The following is a 22,555-nucleotide window of genomic DNA, read 5'->3' on the forward strand; positions in this document are numbered from 1 at the left end:
GTTGGGAAACTGCTGTTTAGATCTTGGACTTTGAGAGGCAGAGAACAGGCAGATATGGACATTTACATTCATGACTCACACCAAATGCATTAAAAATCTCACTGTCTGAAAGCCCAGAAACACCCGACATAGAGCAGACATCATATGCTGTGGTGTGGTTGGGAGTAGGAGGGAAGCCTCATCAGAGCCACAGCTTCAACCTTCTGGATGATGTGCAAGCCACATCAATGTTTGCTACGTATTTATGTAATTTCATCAAATGTGAAAGGACTGGGACTTCATTCATCTCTTTGTTTTGGTGGCTATTTGGGAAAACAAACATTGAAAAAATTGCCTTTTTCTGACACGAAGGAATAAGCTGATCTTAAATTCAAATACAACAATGGCAGATGTACCAATTTGCAGTACAGGTTACTGAAATTCAGTTATTCTCCAGGTCCTTGGCACTAATGGCTTTTACTTATCTATTTCTAGGGTTAATATTATCCAAGTAACATTTTGCCGGTTATATTTTACCTAGAAAAATGGAGGCGCAGCAGTTAAAGGTAGCCTAAGAGATTATAAATACCTAATAATAACAAGAATAATAGCTGGTATTTATCAACTTTATACTCTTTTCTAAGTAAGCTGTAAACTTTTTTTTCCATGTGATTCTCAGCATGCACTTTTGACCATAACTATTACTCACATTTTGAACAGGAATAATATTAAGTAATAGTACTATTAGGTAATGGAAATGGAAAATCCAGACTTCAAACCCATGTTCTGTAGGGCTCCAAAGACTGTGTTCCTAATAGTTATCCTATATTTAATCTGAAAACTACTTTTAAAGCACTTATGAAATCACAAGGGAGTTTGCAGATGAACCTAAAATCAGCATGGCCTTCCATGCCCCGGGTCAATATCTATTTGGTAGAAGGAGGATTGTATTTTTTTATTCATAACATTAGGTTGATCAAAATGACGCTTTATTCTGTGATCAAGGTGACTTGGTAGAGGTAAAATGAGATAAATATCAAAGTGAGATACACTTTTAAATGGCCAAAAGTAATTTTTCTTTGCCAGTCATCAATGGCTCACAATCACCATGTAACTTGTTAGTAAAACCTACAAATAATTAGAATTCTTATAGGTCTTTTGAATGAGTCTTCTCGTAACAGTGTACACTGAAAAACTGCACTAGAAGAAAACGTTACAATAGCCGAAGAAACCTCTAAGAATTCTTATGCCAACTGGGAAACGGAGGTGGGCTGTGGCTGTGTGCCCCAGGAGGACAGCAAGAGGCTGCCTCAGGGGGACAGGTGAAGGTGGAGGTGGTGCCGGCAGCAAGAGGCTGGAAGCACCAGCTTCAGAAGAAAAAGTGAAATGATTTCTTAACCAAACCATGGGGAAGTTGAAAACGTTTGTCAAAATGCCATAGACATTGACGTTTGTGTAATATGACATGATACGTAATATGACATGACATTTATTATGTAAACTAAGCTGTAGTATAGGAATGAGCCATGTATCCTCTGATTCCTGGGCTTAATAACCTTTCTCAGGTACTAGAGGAAGCAGGATAGGCTTATACCTGCAGTTCAAAAAATAACATTCCATTATGAGGACAGCTTGCTTTCCGCACATTTCTGGGATTCTAAAGTCTAGAGTTGCCTGTTTTTCTTTAAGGAGTGCCCTATGTAATGCCAGAAAGTGGCTCATGTTTTCATTGGCCAAATTGGGGTCCCCATTCCCACCGCTCCCTCACACGTTGCCTTTCCACCGTTATTCCAGTTAAAATGGGTTCTGAATAGGGAATCGCATCCTGCAGCCATAAAGTCTTAAGAAACAACGTCTCCTCTCTCGCAGACGGTGGGGCGTCCAGTATTGGAGTCTCTTCAGATCTAGCCATCCTCTTTGCAACCACTTTCCTCAGCATTGCCCGATGGGAACATATCCATTTTTATTCTGGCTCCTTAAATTCTATTTCCGCTATATTTCCTTTGCAGATTTTTTTTTAACTCAAAAAAAAAAAAAAAAAAAAGAAAAGAAAAAGAAACTAGTAAGAGATCACAGCATTTTTTTTTAAGTATCAGGTAGTAGTTAGTTATGAAGAAAAGTGATCGAGCATCATTTGCAAAGCCGCCGGCAGAATCCCAGACCTTATACACTGAGCTATGACGACCTCTCCGGCCAGGCTCCACGGTGGCATCCGTTATGAGCTACCTCCTGGGCTTTGAGTGTGCAATGAATATTCCTCATTTGAGTATTAAATATTTTCTAAAATTTTAGCTCTAGGGGTAAGATACATCAGAAAACAAGTGGGGGAAACCATGTGAGCTGAATCGAAATCCGAAGGACGGAGGAGAAATATTTTATTGCTACTTAAGAGATTAAGGATGAGAAGCAGATGTTACATAACTAAAGTCTTTATCTTCTCTGTGTAGATGTGTTTACAATAAAAGAGGCAAAGCATACAGCACATTTGCTAAAAATATTTCAGAATAAACTGGTAAAAGTTCGCATGGGAAGTAAACAAAAATTCTTCTAGAATCTTGAAAATGATTACTTGAAAAGTGAAATAGCACGTTAGTAAACACCTGAAAACTGTGTTATGTGAAGAACGGAGAATACCTGAGAATATACTGCGGCTAAGAGCAAACGAGGGGTGAGGTTCTTACAGTTATCTCGTGTCTGAGAAACGGCCAGGTGCCAATGACGATGGATTTAAACAATAAATTGTGGAATCACAAAACAAAGACAAGAGAAAAAACAAACAGGTAGCTACCAGCGTGATATAAAGACGAGCTTTCCTGCCAGAAGAGATGCATAGAAATACAATGAGCTATCTTCAAATGTGCCGAGTTCTCTAGAGCTAGAAAAATTCCAATAGACTTTCAATACCTCTTGTCAAAACACGATGAGGAAGATTCCTATGTTAGGAAGGTGAGAGAAGGCCATGGCTCCAAGACACTTCCCAACGTCTTTCTAGAAGTTTTTGCAGGAAGGGGTTGAAAAGGATGTTTTGTGGTGGCACCGGGCTAGAAGAACAAATTGACTAAATCTTAAAAGTAATAAAGAACTTCAAACAAAAGCACATCATGAAAAATGAGTATATTTGTCTTATTTCATAAGAACTATGGAGTACAAAGAAGTCTAGAAATCTTTTTTATAATGGCTTGGCCTTCTCCTATAGAGAGAAATATTAGGTAAATTGCTTTTCTATGTGTCACTGCAGAGTATAAATAATTATATGAAACGAAAGAATAACTGTGGGAAGGAATAAAAATGTGTGCGAGGTCTCTGGTGACAGAGTAATGGCTCGCCGACATCCACCCACTCTTCCCCTTGATGGCCAGTGCCTCCATCTACCCAAGAAGCAGCTTGATTTGTCAGGAAATTATGCTCTGAAAGGGTATTTCAAATGGCCCACCGCCCCCACGCTCCTCCACTGTGTCCTCTGGAAATGACTTATTGACTGTCACAATCTTTGCTGGACAGCTGCCCACCATACAGTGTTCTCAAGGTGCTGTCTGCAAGAGGAGCAGACTACACTAGAAAAATGGTCCAAATGACAGCATCATTTTTACTTAATACTTGAATCGATTTTTCTCTTTTTCCCCTGAAGCATTTTCTCTCTTGCTATCTTTCCTCATAAAGCCCTTGAGACTTGTTTGGGAAATGTTTTACAAATAAGGAAACGTATACAGGGAAATTAGGCATCAAATAAGTGGAATTCAACTCTCTCCACAGCCCAGTCCATAGTTTTTTTCAGTGGGAACTCTTGTAACAGGAACTCTTCTGAGAGGACAGAAAGTGAAGGGAGCATTGGATACGTCGGGGTCTCTGGAGTCACTAAGGTGAGACATTCCAGGGTGGAAAGCCTTAGAGACCACCTAGCTGAGCCTCTGTTAACGTCGGAAGTGGGGTCTAGAAAGATGCAGATGACAGCTGAGCAAGGTAGGGCCCCTGGGCGGCTGTTGAAATTACACTCCATGTTATTCGGAAGGTATCACTTGAGTATTATTCATTCCGAACATATCCTTTTTCTTTTTTTCTTTTTTGCAAGTCACTTCATTTTGAAACTCACTTGCAGTTCTGCAGAGTGGGCTGTATGAGCCCCCACCCTCTACCTCCAGACCTACGTCCACATCTACCCTGTGTTTGGATTCTCAGCTGAGAATCCCTTGGTCACACAGGCCTGTTTGAAGAGGTGATCAGGGAGAGCAAAGGCTGAAGAGACCAAGGAGAACCCAAGAGAGCTCATCTAGCAAACTCATTTTCACACTCTTAATGAAGATTTTTTTTTTTTAAAGCTTTGGTTATAACGGCACAGCCTCCGGAGACAGACCGAGGGGGAGTACTTTGCTTCCTGATTACGGGGAGTGATGTGAAGCCACGAACTCTAGAAAGAAATGCGTTACATGCAAATCTGGACAATCCTGAAGTAGCCCATGCATTTGTGAATAGAAATACTACACGGGACCAGGATCACCATGGTTAACAATGGTGCCATATAGACAGCTGGCAGGTGTGCTTGTGTGGTGTCCTCATGTCCTCTCTTGGTTCTGGGCATTCCATTTGAAGATAGCTAATCTGTGCAGAACCTTTCAAAAAATGCCCTATGATTAATATTTTTCCAGCAGAAGGTCAGCTTCTCATTACTTTTTAAATATATATTACCCCCATCTCCAAAATCCATCTCTCTATTTTAGAGCAAGGTAGAAGATTGCTAATGTAAATATATGTTAGCCTGCTGAAAAAATATCATGTTGGCTATATATTTTATCACAAAGAAAAATGTCAGATATTAAAAATGGTTGTCAGCTTCAAATCAAGAGGCTAAGCAGCTGCTCTCCCTTTTCCCCCACTTATTAGTAAGGACTAACTTTCCTTTCACATTTGTAGCATTTGTTGATACATTTTATTAGATCCATTTCTGCCAGCTCTAACCCCGCTAGCGGCCTGAGTTTTGGGTATGTGTGGGTGAAATAATTGGTTATGTAAGCATTAGTCTGCGACAGCAACCGCCTCAGGCTAATGCACTTTGACGCATAACGCATGTTGCTACAGTTTTAAGTGAGGGTGAAACTCAAAATAAATTTTCACGTTCCTATGTCTGAATGTCTGCTTTCTGCTATGTCTGTGTCAGTGTCTGGTGAAAGCACATTGCACCTAGAAATTGGAAATCGTGATATATTCTGAAAGGGAAACAAGAAAGGCCCCACTGCTTGAGGCTGAGCTGAGTCTGTGAAGTAAGCTTAAGGATGGGCGGTAAGCAGCGCTCTGAGCTTCTTGATCCCTTGTGGGGGGTCTTATGACATCAGCACCCCTTGCCTTCTAGGGCTTTGTCTTGGCTCCATTTCCTGAAGTAAAACGCAAATGTCTTCCTGTTTTCTGGTGGTGACCCACTTTTTGAATCCTGTCATCACACTTGGTCTATTCCCTTGCATTTCAGGGCCTCCTGAGCTTGTTGGCTCTGTCCCACATTTCCCAGTCCACCCAAACCATTCTCAACACCAAAATGAGGCTCCTGCAGTGCCCATCCACGCCAGCATCCCAGACTCCATTTATACAGGAGAGGGAATCAGTCTGAACATCACAGGGCCAACGCAAGCCCAGTTGGCCAATCAGGGTATGGCACCACGGAGCTGCCCAGACATATGATTGTACAGAAGGTGAAAAGCAGATCAACTCGGCTGTGCTTTCGCAAATAGAGAATGTGCCCATCCAGAGATAATCTGCACAGGGCTTAGGAAAAAAGGGAAACCTAAGAAGCATTTGTCAATATGTCTCCAGCGTTATGCAAAGGAAAACGTGTCCTAACTATGACACAGAGGCAACTTAGTTTTCTCTTTTTCTCTCTTCCTCATTAATAAACGTCTCATGTAACAGTCAATATCTTCCTTGTTTTATCTTTCACTTCATCTCACTATGATTTGGCCTCAGCTCGAACCACTCCACTGAGATTGTTCTTTCCAAGCTCCTTGGCCCCTCTGCTGACAAATCCAGCTGGAAAATCAGTTGTTGTCTTATTTGACCTCTTGCCAGCCCTGATCATGGTTGATTGAACAGCTTCCGGAAATGCCACTGGGACTTGTTTTATCCTGGTGTCCCTCTTAGTCCTCTGCCCCTCCTTCTCCATCTTCATTTGTTTGCTGTTGCTGTTGTTTGTTTGTTTTCCCTGCCATTCCCCAAAATGTTAGTATCCCTCCGGCTTCTGTTCCAAGCTTGTTTCTACACATTCTTTCTGGGCAACCGTCCATCCTCGTGATTCAATTGTAGTCTTTAAAATAGTGAAGCCTAAATCTTCATTACCAATGCTGATCTCTCTCTCTCTTTCTCTGTCTCTCTCTTTCTCTCCCTCTCTCACTCTGTTTCAATACCTCAAGCACTACAAACTCTAAAGTGGAATTCGGCCTCTTCTTTTCGGAGGGAAGCAGGTGAGAAACCTGGGGGTCATCCGGGTGCCTCTTCCACGCTCCACAGCTCTTCAATCACCACGCCCTGTGAGCCTGCTTCCTCAATAGCTCTATGTCTGCCCAAATCTCTTGATTTCTACTGACACCAGTGCTGCTCGCGCCATCAGCATCTCTCACTTGGATTTCTGCCTTGGATATACCCCGTGGAGCCTACCCTTGTGCCTTCAGTTGTGAACTCCTGCTTCATGCTGCAGTTAGAGCAATCTATAGAAAATTAATTTGATTATTCCAGATTATTCCACTACTTCATTTTTAATAATTCAGCACCCCACCCCATCCCACAGCAACACCCAGGAGAATGTTCAAAGCTCCTAACCGATTCACAGCTCTGCGACCTTGCCCTGCTGAGCAGTCGAGACTCATCTCTGCCCACTCCCACCCGGCACTCTGCTCTCTGGCCACAGGAGTGACAAGCAGGTCACTCGATGTGCAGCGTGCCCTCGGTGGCTCTGCACCAGGCTCTTCCTTCCACCTCCCTCACGAATCCCTCAGCCTATTAATTCCTGTCCATCCTGTGTGACCTCACTTGGAAGCCTTTCCTGCATTCCCTCTAGACCCTGCAATGAGCTCTTCTTCGGCAGTTCAGTACATGTGATGCTGTCTTCTCGTCTGCCTCCTTCCCAGACCCTATGCTCTTGGAATGAAGGCCAAGCTTTGTGCCTTCTTGTATCCCCAGTGCCCTGGATGTATCTGGCAGAAATTTACCGTCAGTGGAATGCCCACTGGAAACTAGTAACATGGCCTTTGGGCTTGCATAATGATGCCCCGCGATTGGTTAGCGTGAGAGCCAGTCCACCTGGCCCTGAGATCCTGCCCAGAGCAGAGACTCAAACCAGGAACCCTGATGAGCCCCCAACATATTAAATCCTAAGAATCCCTTTTCATATGACCAACCCAGTGGCCGTTATTGAAGGCCGAAAACAAAAACAAACAAAACAAACAAACAAACAAAAACTAAAGAAATAAATTTTTAAAAGTCCACTTCATGAAGTGAACCTCTCCTTCCAAAAAGACCCCATGGTTCAGGTCCTAAAGCACAATATGGGATTGGGTTGCAAGCTGAGAAAGATTGTCACACAAAGATGGGGAATGGTGTGGTTTATTGTTCTGAGCTCATGGAAGGCCACAGAGCTTCAGAGGGCAAAGTATATTTTATAGCTGTTATTTAAACGGACACACTACTTTGGCTGGGATTGTGGCAAAAAGTGTTGAGCAGAGAGGTTATACTAATTCATACCTTTCCAGAACAGTTCTATTATATATCCAGAAATGAATATTAACGATGATAATAACCAGTGAATTAACTTCACAGTAAATAAGGAAGCGTTTCCTTTGGTGTGAAGGAAGATCTCTTTTAACAAGCTGCCTTCACCGGATTATCATGTTAGTGACGAAGATGGTGGGAGCTCTGCTGTGGGCATCAAAAAAGAAGAAAGTCACTCCATAAGACTACTTCTGAGTGTTGGCCGTGGATGGATATAACTCAATAGCCTTATCTAGAGTCGGAATGGGCCCGTAGTAAATGAAAGCACCTTTTGTGGACTCTCAGCCAACAAGCAATGCCTTAGAAGTGCAGAGTATTACATGTCCTCTAAACATACCACTTATTTAACCTGGCCTGTATGGACTGTCACAAAAGTGCCAGTGATCCTATTAAAATTTATATCTCTAAAAAGGCAGCAAGTGAACACTTCAATATAAATTCAATTTTGGGCTCCACATCTTGAGTGAGTTGAGAATGTTGAAAAGGGTTTAAAAAGTGGGAAATCAGTCTTCTAAAGAAAGGGAAATGGAATTGAGTCTTAAATAAGAAATCTGAAACTAATCTAAGGATATAAAGGGATAATATATTCACCAAGGATAGGAGAAGAGAGAATGTGTTAGGCTTTCCTTCTTTTCCAGAACTCATATAAGATTTCATGGAGCACTTGATGATTAATAAATGAATGTTATCTTCCATAATCTACAATCTATTTAGAAAATACCAATAATACCAACGCACTGAGTAGAGCTATAATAAGTAATCAGTAAATTCACTATAAAATGCAGATGTATTCGTTTCTTCATAAAACCAAAGAGAAAGGAACTTACTGTAACAGCCTCACTTAGTAGAAATGGGCAAAAAAAAGAGTCTGAAGAAAGTTAATGCATAACTTTGTCATATAATCCAAAGTAAAGGATGGAAAATGTGACATAATAAACTATAGTTAGTTATCTAAGAATCTGATACTTTTACATAGCTGTGCACATTATAGAACTAGAATATATAATGCTTTTGGTATGTATCTAAAAGTTTTACTTCTTGGCCATATTGTCAGGTCACTTGTGTACCAAGAGTGCATGATTGCCACCCTACTTTACCAATGTCACAGTCACAAAAATTATAATTGAAACAAGAATAATCTGCTTTTGCTCAAAGAAAATCTGCTGTTCCTCAGTGGAGCAGGCTCTTTGCATTCTTTGTTTTTCCCACAGATGCCAGCATTTCTGATTTTGTCATTGCATTTGCTCCTCAAGAAACAGCAGCTAACACCACACTATCTTTGTTGTTTTCTGCATTATCTTAATGTGTCCTGCTAGTGAGAAGCTGGGAAAGGTATGAATGCAAACCCCTTTTGTAAATTAAGAGCCAACCGGCACCCTGGGAATGGAGTAGAATTGTGTCACGTGGTTCTTTAAACATGTTGCCTATTTAAACCTGGTCTGCATTACTGTCAGAAAAATGCCAGTGATTCTATTAGAATTTACATATTTAAAAAGTCAGAGTGAACACTTCAGTATTCTAATTGAAATACAGACTTGTAGCCTGTTACCATGAAACAGAGGACTGGCTGCCTAGGTACCATCCAATCTGTCTGTTAATCCCACATTTTTCACTGAGAGCCAACTTTGGAGTCTGACAGTAGATAGGTGCCTTGGGGAGCAGAGGTGTAGGGCAGGTTAAAAATTTCATCATAAGACATTTTCCCTGGCATCAGAAATAGTGCTGTAAAATTTGAGGAGCCAGGGTAAGATGAATCCCACTGTGAATGCTCCCGTCAGTGCACCTCCGTGTGGAGGGAGCAGAAGTCAATGGGGGCTGAGGGTTTCTGGAGAAGAGAAGAGGACGGCATGTGAGGGAGTGAGATGGGCATGTCAGAGAGAGGAGTGGGGTGGAGGTTAGTGTGCTTCTGATATGAGAAAGAGAGGGAGGAAGGGCAGAGCATGGGAGGAAGACAGCAAGGGAAGGAAGGAGATAATGAAATGTATATAATATAAACACCATAGAATACTAGTCAGCCATAAAAAAAAGAACAAAATTTCTTTTGCAGCAAGTTTGCATTGAAGTAACTCAGGAATGAAAAACCAAATACTGCATATTCTCATTTATAAGTGGGAGCTAACCTATGGGGTATGCAAAGGTACACAGGGTGATACAACAGACAGTGGAGACTCAGAATGGGGGAGTTTGTGAAGGGGGTGAGAGATAGAAAACTACCTGTAGGGTACAATGTACACTACTCAGGTGACCGGTGCACTAAAATCACAGACTTCACCATTATACAACTCATCCATGTGACCAAAAACCACTTGCACCACTAAAGCTATTGAAATTTAAAAAATTCAAGGCCAGGCATGGTGGCTCATGCCTGTAAGCCTAGTACTTTGGGAGGCCGAGGTGGGTGGAGCACCTGAGCTCAGGAGTTCAAGACCAGCCTGGCCAACCTGGCAAAACTCTGTCTCTACTAAAAAATTACAAAAATTAGCTGGGCGTGGCGGTGCATGCCTGTAATTCCAGCTACTTGGGAGGCTGAGGCAGGAGAATCACTTGAACTCAGGAGTCAGAAACTGCAGGGAGCCAAGACTGCACCATTGCACTCCAGCCTGGGTGACAGAGTGAGACTCTGTCTCAAAAAATAAAAAGTAAAAAAATAAAAAAGAACTATTTACTATCAGTTATTTTGCCAGGTGTTTTCAATGCACGGTATCTGTGATGTGAGTGATATTATTCTAATTTATGAATATGAAAACCGAGACTCAGAGAATGTAAGCAATATGGACAAAGTCCCACAGCAAAATGTAACAGAGACAGGGTGGGCTTTTAGGTCATTTTACCCTACACCCCGCCACCCCACATCAAACTGTGTTTTATTCTATACCAGTTATGCAGAGGTAAATATTAACTCATGATACTGTAAGTGTAGAGTTGTTTGTGGCTTGCAAGAAATATCTTTTCTGGGGTTAAGCTTTGGGGATTCAAACATGTTCTATGCTGCTCTCCATAGCTCAAAGAAAATGCGGCTGTTTTCAAAGAAGCTCAAAGAAGGCACTTCGGCAACTGTTATGTGCGTTTTGCTTTAGAGTGAAAGATTTTAAAGATGGCAAAGGCTCACAATGTTTGTGATCTTATTAACACAAGCTTGAAACCCTGCAAATTGGTGACATGAGTAACACTAATCTTAATTAGGAAGGAGCCAGAATTATATCTGGAAAAAACAATCGCCTATCACTAGAAGTAACCGCCGCCTCCAATTAAGAAGCTTATTTTTCTGGTCCCGGTCTTAAGACCTTCTTTCTCTCTGTGGCTTACTATTCCCCATAGAAACAACTATTTAACTATTAAATTATACAGAAGTGACACTAACTTGTATATGTTTTAATTGTACTTGCTAAACATTTTTAGTAGTTATTCCACCCATTTAAGATTTTTAGCATATTTCCCTTACATAAATATTCATTTATATACACATGAACTGTTATATAATGTGTACATTATACAACACACACAGAGCACAAGTGATTGCAAAGGTTAGGATAAAATTATAACTGCAAGTAGAATTTATTATTTTCTTGTCATACTTTAACAGATTATCTTGTGCATGTCCTGTGTGTGTTCGCCCCGCTTAGGAGAAGCCCGACTGAAGTTAAACAGCGATTGTCAACTTCTTTAGCACTGAAATAAATTATGTAAATTGTCAAATTGTGTGGCACAGACATTTAAAACTGAGCACTTGCTTGAATTATGTAAGCAAATTTTAATGAACTTTATATAACTGACTAGGCAAGACCCGAATATTAACATAAGGGCAAGAACCTGGTCTGTCTTTAGGCAGCAGTGAACTCTCCGCAGGAGGGGCCTAGCCTCTGGCATGACTCAGCCATTAGTGCCTGAATGAATGAATGAATGAATGAAAGAATGCCTCTAAACACAAGCTCAGGGTGAATCCAAATGGCCTTGGTCTTAGCAACACATTCCTGTTCTATTTAGTGGGATTTGTTTACTTGATCAAGGTTTTGCCATTATTATTATCAGTTTAATCTACAGACTAAACTAATGGCATCCATTTTCTCCGATACATTTTTTTAAGGCAAGCAATAGAAATTGGGCTAATAAGTACAATTTTGTATAAGCTGTAATGATGCTGAATTTTATTAGCAGTGACAGTAGTGAAAGCTACTATTTCTTTGTTCTGGTTGGCATAGCATCAGTTTCTAGAGCCAAAGAAAGATTTAGATATGTAAATGCTCATACTAAATTTATTGGCATCTTGTGAAAGTGTTGTTACATATAAATATTTATAGTTGTTAAATATATATGTATACATACACACACATATATATAAGAAAGTCAGAGCATCTGTTGAATTCAATCAAAACAGTGTTAATAACTCATTTTTTTTTGCAGTCATAAATGTTCCACCAACTTTTGTGGACAGCAGAAAAAGGAAACATTTTTCTTCCTAACTTTTGCCATGTTTCTGTATTTCCTCAGTAAATACTGAGATTCAGCAGAATGTATTATTTTGACATTTTAGATCATGTTATTGTCTAAAAGCTGAGAAAACATATGTCTTTAAATGGGAAGATTCAGAACATAAAAATAGATTTCACTCATGAACAATGGTTCCATAATTCAAATGAAGATACACAGTTAAGTTGAAAGGCAAGACTTTAGAATTCCTCCCTAAAACATTTTCAAGGACAGTTTCTCGTTGGGTGCTCCCTGTGTTCCATTGACTTGCTGCGGTCTAACCCCTGTGAAGTTAGTATAATACAGTGCATTTTCTGTTCTCTAAGTGTGTTGTGTGTATCTTAGAGAAAAATGAGCATCCTCCTACTTATAGAGTTAAGAATATAAGTACACACTCTGCAAGTCTTTGAACCCATCCCTGCAAATGTGCTTAGGGCACAAAACTCTAGGAAAGAAGACTTTTCTCTGCTACTTTGGCAGAAACAGAGGGCCTATCTTAGCCCATGTCTTCTTTATCCTGAGCTAAACATACCATCAGAAATATGTTTTTAGTATACAATAATGGATTATGAATAATCATAACATTATTGTTTAATTGATTAATTAATTAATTATTGATTATCAGTTGATTATTGATTAATGAATAATATTATTCATTATTATTGAAAACTATAATCAATGGAATTAACAATCCTTAATAATAAAATTGGTGGTAACATTGGAAGGTGCAGCTTTGGAGCAGACAGTTGATCATTATATATTTGGAATTAAATGGCAGCACCCAGTTTTATGCTCAGAGTAAAGCCTGGCAAAAAATGTAGAATAATACTGAAATATGCAAAAATCAAATTAATAAAGCACATATATCATGATGCAAAACATGTAATAAAATCTGGTCATTTAATTTTAATAATTTTCTGTCTTGAGAATGCATGTTTACATTCATCAATAAGATATGTCATTGTATATACAAATGATACCTCCATTTTTGAATTATGTATATAATATAAATATAATACAAATTATATATAATATAAATATAATACAAATTACATATATTTATATTTTCAGCCCCAAATTGGCAATTGGTAAAAAAGGTAAAAAATTGGTTAACTGGTTAAAAAAGCTAATAAATTTTATGTCCGTAGCAATGTCTTAAAATTTAAAACTAACCATTTACTTTCCTAGCATGTGTTTTGCCGTGCTGACTGCCATGGATCCTGAAATAAGCACCTTAACAAATTATTTTCATTCAATTGCAAATATATCAAGGCTCAAAGATAATTTTAAATCAATAACAATGATAAAGATTTATGGCTTAGTACTGATTGTGATACAAATTGCACTTTTTAATACACAAATCTCACACTGAACTTTGGTTTAAAAATTAGAAAAGAAATTAGTTATTAGATTATTCTTAGGTAAATGAGAGTCTCCACAGCTAATAATTTGATATTTTTAATGATTCCTCACTGAAAAACAACAATAACAACAGAAAGAACAAATGGAAATAAAACAAAGCAAGCACATCAATTTCATACCTAAGTGGGAATATTCAGGTAACATTTATTTTTATTTTATTTTATTTTATTTTGTTTTGTTTTTTGAGATGGAGTCTCACTCTTGTCACCCAGGCTGGAGTGCAGTGGCACAATCTCGGCTCACTGCAACCTCCGCCTCCAGGGCTCAAGTGATTCTCCTGCCTCAGCCTCCCAAGTAGCTGGGATTACAGGCACGCACCACCACACCTGGCTAATTTTTGTATTTTAAGCAGAGACGGGGTTTCACCATGTTGGCCAGGCTGGTCTTGGACTCCTGACCTCAGGTGATCCACCCGCCTCGGCCTCCCAAAGTACTAGGATTACAGGAGTGAGCTACTTACTGTGCCTGGCCTTATTTTTTATTTTTTGTTTTTGTTATTGTTTTTATTCTCACTGTAGCCTCAGCCTCCCTGGCTCAAGATCTTTCTGCCTCAGCCTCCTGAGTAACTGGGACAACAGGTGCATGCCACCATGCCTAGCTAATTTTTAAATTTTTAATAGAGATAGGATCTCACTGTGTTGCCCAGGGTGGTCTTGAATTCCTGGCCTCAGGTAATCCTCCTGCATCAGCTTCCCAAAGTACTGGCATTACAGGCGTGAACCACAGAACCTGGCCTCAGGTGACATTTAAACTTAAATTTCAACCAACGAAATGGTGGGGGATGGGGATGGGGATGGGGTGGGACCCAGACAATCAACAGTGTGTATGGAATAGATCTTTAAATGCTCACTCTGAAAGCTCAAATAACAAAGTAAACTTAGCAATCAACCTGCTCTTTCCATAGAGATACTGAACACACAAACCAAAGGAGCATCACATCCCCTGAATTCTGATTGCCATACTCTCGCCATATGCACACACACGCACGCACACACACACGCATGCGCACAGACGCACTTTCCATACATTAGGTCAGATGTCGTTAGCTTATCAAGGAATGAAACACCTTCTGCTTGTTTCCCTTACATTGGAACTGGACCTGAGCTATTCCTTACACATTAAAACAAACAAACAAAAACTTTCTACTTGCCACACACGTGGACGTTTCTAACTTTTTTTTAGAACTATGGCTTCAATAGTCTTTACAGAATTTAGTCCCCTGCATAAAGGTCGTTTTCTTAAGAGTCAGTGAGCTGGAAGGAAAACTATTGACCTTGGTATGTTCCTGGGGTTTAAACACACACCACTACCTAAACAGCAGAGCCTCCAGAGAGCAGGCTGCATTGGATGAAGACCTTGGATAAGGCAGACAGAAAGGGAAGCCAATTGTATGTTATGGAAGGAGGCGGTCAGAAAACCCCGGCAAAAATACGGTTTTATTTTATTCCTTAGAATTTAAGATACTCACTATTATTTAAAATCAGGTCAAGCCAGAAAATATCTTTTACATTTTTCAGCGTAAGCACAAAATAACGTTAACTATACATTTATTAGAATGTGTAAATGCTTAGATGGAAATTGTTTCTTTTACAATGAAAAATTATCCAATAATCTGTTTCTTTCACATGGTATAAATGCAAAAGTTCATTTGAAACAGATTCTTATTCACTGTGGAACAAAATGAGTACATGACAAAACATAAAATCCTGTTGCTCGAATTTCATAGACTATAATGTAAAACATACTTAGCATCGGGTTTCTGACTTTTTATAACCACTATCAACGCACAGCAATATAAATGATCATAGTGAATTTGAAACGGTGATTTCAAATCTCACCAATGCAACATATTTACAAAAGCAGAAGATAACTACTGATGCTGGCATAGCACTCACTGCATGCCAGCAACTAGATAAAGGTCTTACATGTAGTAACTCATTTAATTCTTACACAAACCTCTGAGGTAGACAGTAATATTTTTCCTCTATTCCATGGGTTTGAAAATACGAGGCCCAGAAAGTTTAAGTCCCTGACTGAAGTGAAGCCAGAGTTCATCTCCCAGAACTGATGCGCCCAGACATTGGGCCACATGACTTCTATAATGACTGCTAGATATTTGTATTAACAAAAGTATGCACTTCATTTGTTGCTATACATATTGTATCCAGACATTCTTGCACTATCTTATTTCAAGAGATTTCTTTTGACAAAACAGAAGAAAAGTATAGACTGAGCAATTCGGCACACCATCAGAATAGCACAGAAAATTCTTCTGCAATCCTTAGCCTAATGCAAGCATTACCGAAGCTTCTAAAACCTGCCATTCTGTTTGTGCATCATGCACCATTTCATGATACCCGCATTTCGGCTGCCTTGATTTCTCTTTTGAAATGAAATAAAGTTAAGGCAGTTTTTTACCTATGAGATTCTTCCTTAGAATAACCCTCGATACTTCCAGAGAGCCCTCTGTGTCTAGCATTGAGTGTGCCTATATCTGCACTAGTAGTAACTTTGATTACTCCAAGCTGCCACAAATGTTTAAGACACAAAGTGTGCACAACTCCTTCTTTAAAAAATGTGTGGTAAACACCAGGTCTATAGAAGGGCTTTTAAAGCATCCAAACAGTGATTAAGAATGAACTTGAACTTTCTGATCAAATATTCTTGATAACTGCATAAGGTTAAAAGTTTAGCAAACTGCTTTTCTGAAATATCTTTGTCGCACAAGTCAAGATCGTGTAATACTGGTGATTTTTATGCCTTGATAGACAAGAAAGTACTTGTGGTTAAAGCAGTCAACATCCCTCCCCCATTCATGCCAGTTTTACATGGTGAGATTGACAATGAAGTGGAAAAGAACATACCTGAAGAGGTAAGAGTCCTTCAAGTGAGAAAGCCTTCAGCATTTATTATTTGTGATGTGCTGGAGAAGAGAATGTATTTGCACTTAGCTTATTTATTTGAGCTTCAGTTAGTAACCGAATCTCATAGGATTTTAGGAAGTATGAAGTAACTATATACATATCAGAAAAAGTAAAATATAATCAAGTCTAACAAGACTTTGCTAATAATAAAGTCGGCAAAGAGCAATATTTCAAAATATGAGCTCTTCATATGTAACATATAAGGAACCAATGAAATCGCTATTTAATTAACTTATTCATTCCACCAACACTTACTAAATATGTTATGTAAAGAGCATACACCAGATATATTGCAAGGAGTGGTGCCATTATTGATCATTTATATTCATTGGTTAATTTCGATTAACAATTGTATCAATGGAGGTTAATCTCAAAGAAGGTTAATGGCAGCTACCATCTCTTATAGGCTATTTGGAAAAATATACAATGAAAGGTAATGAAGCAGCATGGAATTATGACCCTAGTTCCTGTCATTCTACTGACATAGTCATCTTATTGCCAAATTGACAGTCTAATTCAGTGAAATCAGGCCATGAAACATCTTTTGAATAATGTTAGACAATCCTGCATATCAAAGAAGTAGAGGGTGGAAAGAACTCAGTTATAGGAAAGTAGTGAAATTGGAAAAACAAGCAAGAAAAGGTAATCCCATTATCAAAGAGAAAAGGCACCTAGAAGTTCAATGTAAACCTCTGCCTGCAGGGTCGGGAGGGGTGAATCAATGACATCAACCACTCACAATGCTCCGTTGTCACATGTATCTCAAACATATGCCAAGAAATAATTCAGTCCCTTTGCATTATTGATATTATTATTCGAAACAACATCAAACCCATAGATAAATCTAAGGGTGCCGGTAATTCTTTTTTTTGGAGACAGAGTCTCGCTCTGTTGCCTAGGGTGGAGTACAATGGCCCGATCTCTGCTCACTGCAACCTCCGCCTCCCGGGCTCAAGCGATTCTCCTGCCTCAGCCTCATGAGTAGCTGGGATTAACAGGCATGCGCCACCACACCCGGCTAATTTTTGTATTTTTAGTTAAGACGGGATTTCACCATGTTGGCCAGGCTGGTCTTGAACTCCTGATCTCAGGTAATCCACCCGCCTTGGCCTCCCAAAGTGCTGGGATTACAGGCATGAGCCACCACGCCCGCCTGGGTGCTGGTACCTCTTGATTGATGATGCTTCTGCTTGTCTGCATGAAAAACCCTCCATTTCAATCATTATGGTTCTCTTCGTAAAACCGATTATCCTCTGTGGTTTAAGCCAACCAGCTTCTTAGAAGCTATGTCGTCTGAATGTTTTATGGTATTTACTAATATTGTTGTGCTTATAGCTTCCAGCGTAATAATACTTGAACTAGCAGTATCTCAGATAAAATATAAACCACATTTTAGACACACACACTCAAATATTTTGAAGTAATAATACATTTAGGTGAGCATATTCATTTTGGATTTCATTTAAAAAATTTTAATGAGGAAATCTATTATGAGAAATACATGTTCATCTACAATCAATACCAATCATGATGATGGGACTACGTGGGGCTGGAGAAAGGCACTTTTGGGCAGGCATTCTCTCTCTGAGCATAAGGAAGTTTCATTATGTCAGTCTTGTGATAAAGAGAGTGTCAGGATCATTTCTCATGCTGGGGGACGTGCAACACCTGCAGCATAATTAGGTACTCAAAATCTGTTTGTATTTTAAAAGTGCTTTATATAACTGTTATTATGCATCAGGGGACGCCTTCGGCTCAGCTGCTAACCTTTCCATAGCTGAGTTCAAGAGAGCAGGGTAAGGAGTCCACAGGAGATTCAAAGTGGGTGAGGAATTTGGAGGAAGGCTGGTTTATCGAGAGAAAGCAGCACCCCACACCCATGAACATTTATATTTTTATCCCTGGTGTTAAATCAATTCCCCTCTCTCCACCCTGACTCAGGGAGCAGAGATCATTAAGAACACATTTAAGTGCTTAATTGGGTTTTGAAGGAGGTTTCTCCATTAACATTAATTAAAGTCTCCCTGGGCTCATGAAAGCTCATTTGCCAGGTAGGGGTTTCCCAGGTTCACTCCTCTTTCCATTGCTGCCTCAGCAGAACTATTTTTCTTGCCTGGATTCCATAGGAAGCTTCCAGTGCAAGAGGTAAGAAAAACAGGGTAAAGCGAAGGGACACCATTGCATTCTGCGATGGAAGATTGGGCCAAGTAGAGAGAAGTCCTGTTGCATATGATTTTACCCTTGAGGGGAAGGATAATTAGTATTTTGGTGAAATCACGGGTCAGCTACTGCCAGGTGACTATGGGAAAGGCACCCAGAGATGCCTCATGCAGATTCGGCCTCCTCTCTTTATGGATAGAAACACTTTTGAATGAAAATTAATATTATGTCATGAGTACATTAACTTTATTAAGTTGAGCCATATGAAATTTCTGATATGCAACCATTTTTGGTCCATAAAAATGGCAATTTCATATGGTTTAATCTAGTAAACTAGAAATTCTAGATTTTAAACAGGAAGAAAAAAATGTATTCTACTCATAAAAGGTAGGGCACCTTTATTTTTCTCTCCCTCATCTCTATACTCCCTTAAATTTCAAAAGTAACTCTATATCTATGCATAGGAGCTAAAAGCATAGAATAAGGTCAGCATTATCTGTGGTTGCATGTTGAAGTGAAAAAGCCTATATTGATTGTGAATATATTGACGTTGTATTTATCTCCATCCATCCTCATTATTATTATTATTATTTTTATTTTGCCTTTCAAGATGTAAGAAATAGAATTATGGGGGGAAAATTACAAACTTCAAGATAATAAATAAAGATAATAAAAATTTATTACTTGCCTAGTAGGTATTGTGAGAAATACAAAGAAGATGTGCCAAGAGAAAATAGAAGCACAGAAAGCACTAAAGAAAGAGGAAGAGAGAGAAGAGAAGATAGCTGGGCCAGGAAGAGATAACACGAACGACTGGGGACACTTTGATAAACATTGAAAAAAGCAGTGTTAAGCCAGGTTTAGTGGCTCATGGCTGTAATCCCAGCACGTTGGGAGGCCAAGGTGGGAGGGTCACTTGAGACCAGGAATTCAAGACCAGCTTGGGGAACATAGTGAGACCCCATCTCCACAAAGAATTCAAAAATTAGCCAGACATTGGGGTGTATGCCTATAATCCCAGCTACTCAGGAGGCTGAGGTGGGAGGATTGCTTGAGCCTGGGAGGTTGAGGTTGCAGTGAGCCCATGGTTGTGTCTCTGCACTCCAGCCTGAGCAACAGAGCAAGACCCGGCCAAAAAAAAAAAAAAAAAAAAAGGAAGAAAAGAAAAAACAAAAAGGCAGCTATAGCTGTGGTTCTAGATACAAGCGCTTATAATTTACCAAAGGAAAGTAAGTAGAATTTGCTTTGAAATGAAAAATTGGCAAATATAGGTTTTGTAAAAATATTTACCCCACTGGAGTAAAGATGGGAATAGAAGAAAGATGTTCATGTGAGACAAAAACTTTTAAATAAAAAACTTCGTATTTCCTCAGTTATTTGCATATTTTTGCCAGTTTTATCTCAAATATCTTTTACAATATTAATGATTTTAAACATTATATAGGTATAATTTATTGGACAGTGGAGCCTTCAGATCGTGGTTCTCTTCATGGTTTATAATACTGGTATATTTCCCCCAACCCGTGCTGTGAATAATTGTAACTATTTGAAGTTGCATTACCTTCAGACTAGGAAAAAAACGTCTTTACATGGAAGAGTTTCACACAACAAATCTATGTCCCATATTTTTCACCTCTCGAATTTCAGCATCTCTATGAACCAACTACATTTTGGTTTTACTAGCAGCTCTTCTTCAAGGTCTTCTGACTGTAATATACAAAAAAGCTATTTTTGAGCTACGCAAAAAATTATCTTTTTCCTTGATGGAGAACTATTAATTGTTTTGTGACTTGGAATATCAAAACTGATTTGCGCATTTGAAATTAGCAACCCTGGCAGGGCCACAGAATATGGCATGAAGTTAAAGGGGAAGGAGAACTGAAAATGCTAGTTGCCCTTTAGAAACCTTTTAAATCTTCTGCTGGTCGGACGACTGTAGATAGCTTCCCTAGGAGCAGGAAAGTTTTGATGTTTCATCTCATAAGAAAGTAGTCCAGCATTTTTAAGCACTTCTAATCTATTTCTTTTTATTTTCTAAAAATAGAGTTGAAAATGGCTGAGTGTCAAAGACATGGAATTACTATGAAAGTTAGGGCACTTCTAATAAGCAAGCCTTGATCAAGCACTTGCATCTATATTTAAACATTAACAAGGCAGGTCTGGGAAGAATGGAGAGACGATATGTACGTCAATCCTGCAAATGACAGCAATTTCCTCCTTTGCAGTCGCCATTACGTAAGCGCTCTGAAACAAAGCCAAGGTAATTAGGTAGGTAAGGGCATGCCCTGTTATTCCTACCCTGGATGCCTGGCATCTACATTAGAGGATGTACAAATGGGAAGTTCAAAATCAGGGGAACAATGGAGCGAACCGGTAAGACTATCTGATAAAGGGGAGTCTGTTCCAGGATGGAGAGGGTCGCGGTCACTAGAAATCATCTTGGAGGTTATAGAAAACACTAGAGATTTCCATTATGAGCGAACTGAGAAAAGATGATGCAGTATTAACAGATTCCTCCTATCTCTAAGATTCGATGTTGATTCTCCTTAACCAACTGACCTAGAAATCAATTAAATACATTATCCTAATCACAAATCATCTTAGCCAATCCTTTAAGAACTGTCACAAAGGAGCTCTTCTTCACAATAGCTACGAATCAGCCCAAGTTGCTAAATATGTACTTAGAATTTCCGATATCACATTATTTTAATAATATTTCTTGCTTCATCGGTGATCTAGGCTGAAATGATGAGGCACTTGCTTGGGCTGGATGCGGAAGACTCAGAAACAGGGAGCTAAAATTCCATGCTAAGAGATTCTGTGCACAGTTCCTGGACAATTAATAAAGCAAAAGATAAAAAGAGCCTGCAATTTTTTTCGAGCACTCACTCTTTTTCAGTGATTGTTCCAGAAGCTTCATATGTTGTGCTCCTACCACATTCCAGATAATTCCATGCAGTAGGCAGTGTTGCTTTCCCCATCTTTATGGATACACGAACTGAGACTCAGAGAAGCCAAAACACTTGCCTATGGTTACACAGGTAGTTAGTGTCAGTTGCTAGTTGCAAGATTGGATCCAAACGGACCACCTTCAGTCCCCATATTCTTTTCTGACCGGCTGTACTGCTTCTCTTTCTGGGAAGTGTTTTGGGTTGAAGGGGAAGCTTTTAATTCTATGCATTTAAGAACTGACATAAAACAACTAAAACAGTTAAGTTGAAAAGGGATCTGCTTTAATTATGTATTTTGAAAAAGTACAAACATAAACACAGAGATATCTCCCCAAGTCATAATTTGAACACTCATATCAGAAAAATTCCATATACCAGCAAGAAATTTGGAAATACAGGTACAGGAGAAGGTGAGACACATGATAACACAACCAAAGGACCATAGCAAGGCAGTTTTCTCAGTCATCGATCAGTAGTGGTATCATCTTTTTTCAGTGAGAAAAGATTACAAGTTAAAACAAGAAGCATTTGTACTCCACTGTGTATGAAAACATAAACTAGCCATTTAGTAGAATGTATGAAGGTATCACGTTCCATAGTGTGGACTCAATAATTCTTTATCCATCTTAATCTTCATAAAATCTTGACTTCAAGGACCTCTTTGGGTATTGAAATAAATATCTAAGTGGAAAACACCCCCAACAGGCAATTGCAGCCAAGATTTTGGGGGAAAAAGAGGAAAAAAATATATGTAAGTGATTTGCTTACAGAGTTGCAAAGGCTGATTTCTATCTGGCTCTGCTACATGTTACATAAGCAGATCCCAGGCAGGAAGAGCAGAGCAACAATCAATACTGTACTAGCTAAACTGAATTCAGTGCCTGAACAACTACATTTACCACACAA

At 39.3% G+C, this 22,555-nt stretch overlaps 1 protein-coding gene across 1 annotated transcript in view; it reads right to left on the reverse strand.

Moving 5' to 3' along the window:
* NALF1 (NALCN channel auxiliary factor 1) overlaps positions 1-22,555 on the reverse strand; it is a 703,987-nt gene that overhangs the window by 47,718 nt on the left and 633,714 nt on the right. The gene's annotated exons all lie outside the window — the stretch shown is intronic.

This window comes from Homo sapiens, chromosome 13 (assembly GCF_000001405.40).
Source record: "Homo sapiens chromosome 13, GRCh38.p14 Primary Assembly".
NCBI classification, from domain to species: Eukaryota; Metazoa; Chordata; class Mammalia; order Primates; family Hominidae; genus Homo; species Homo sapiens.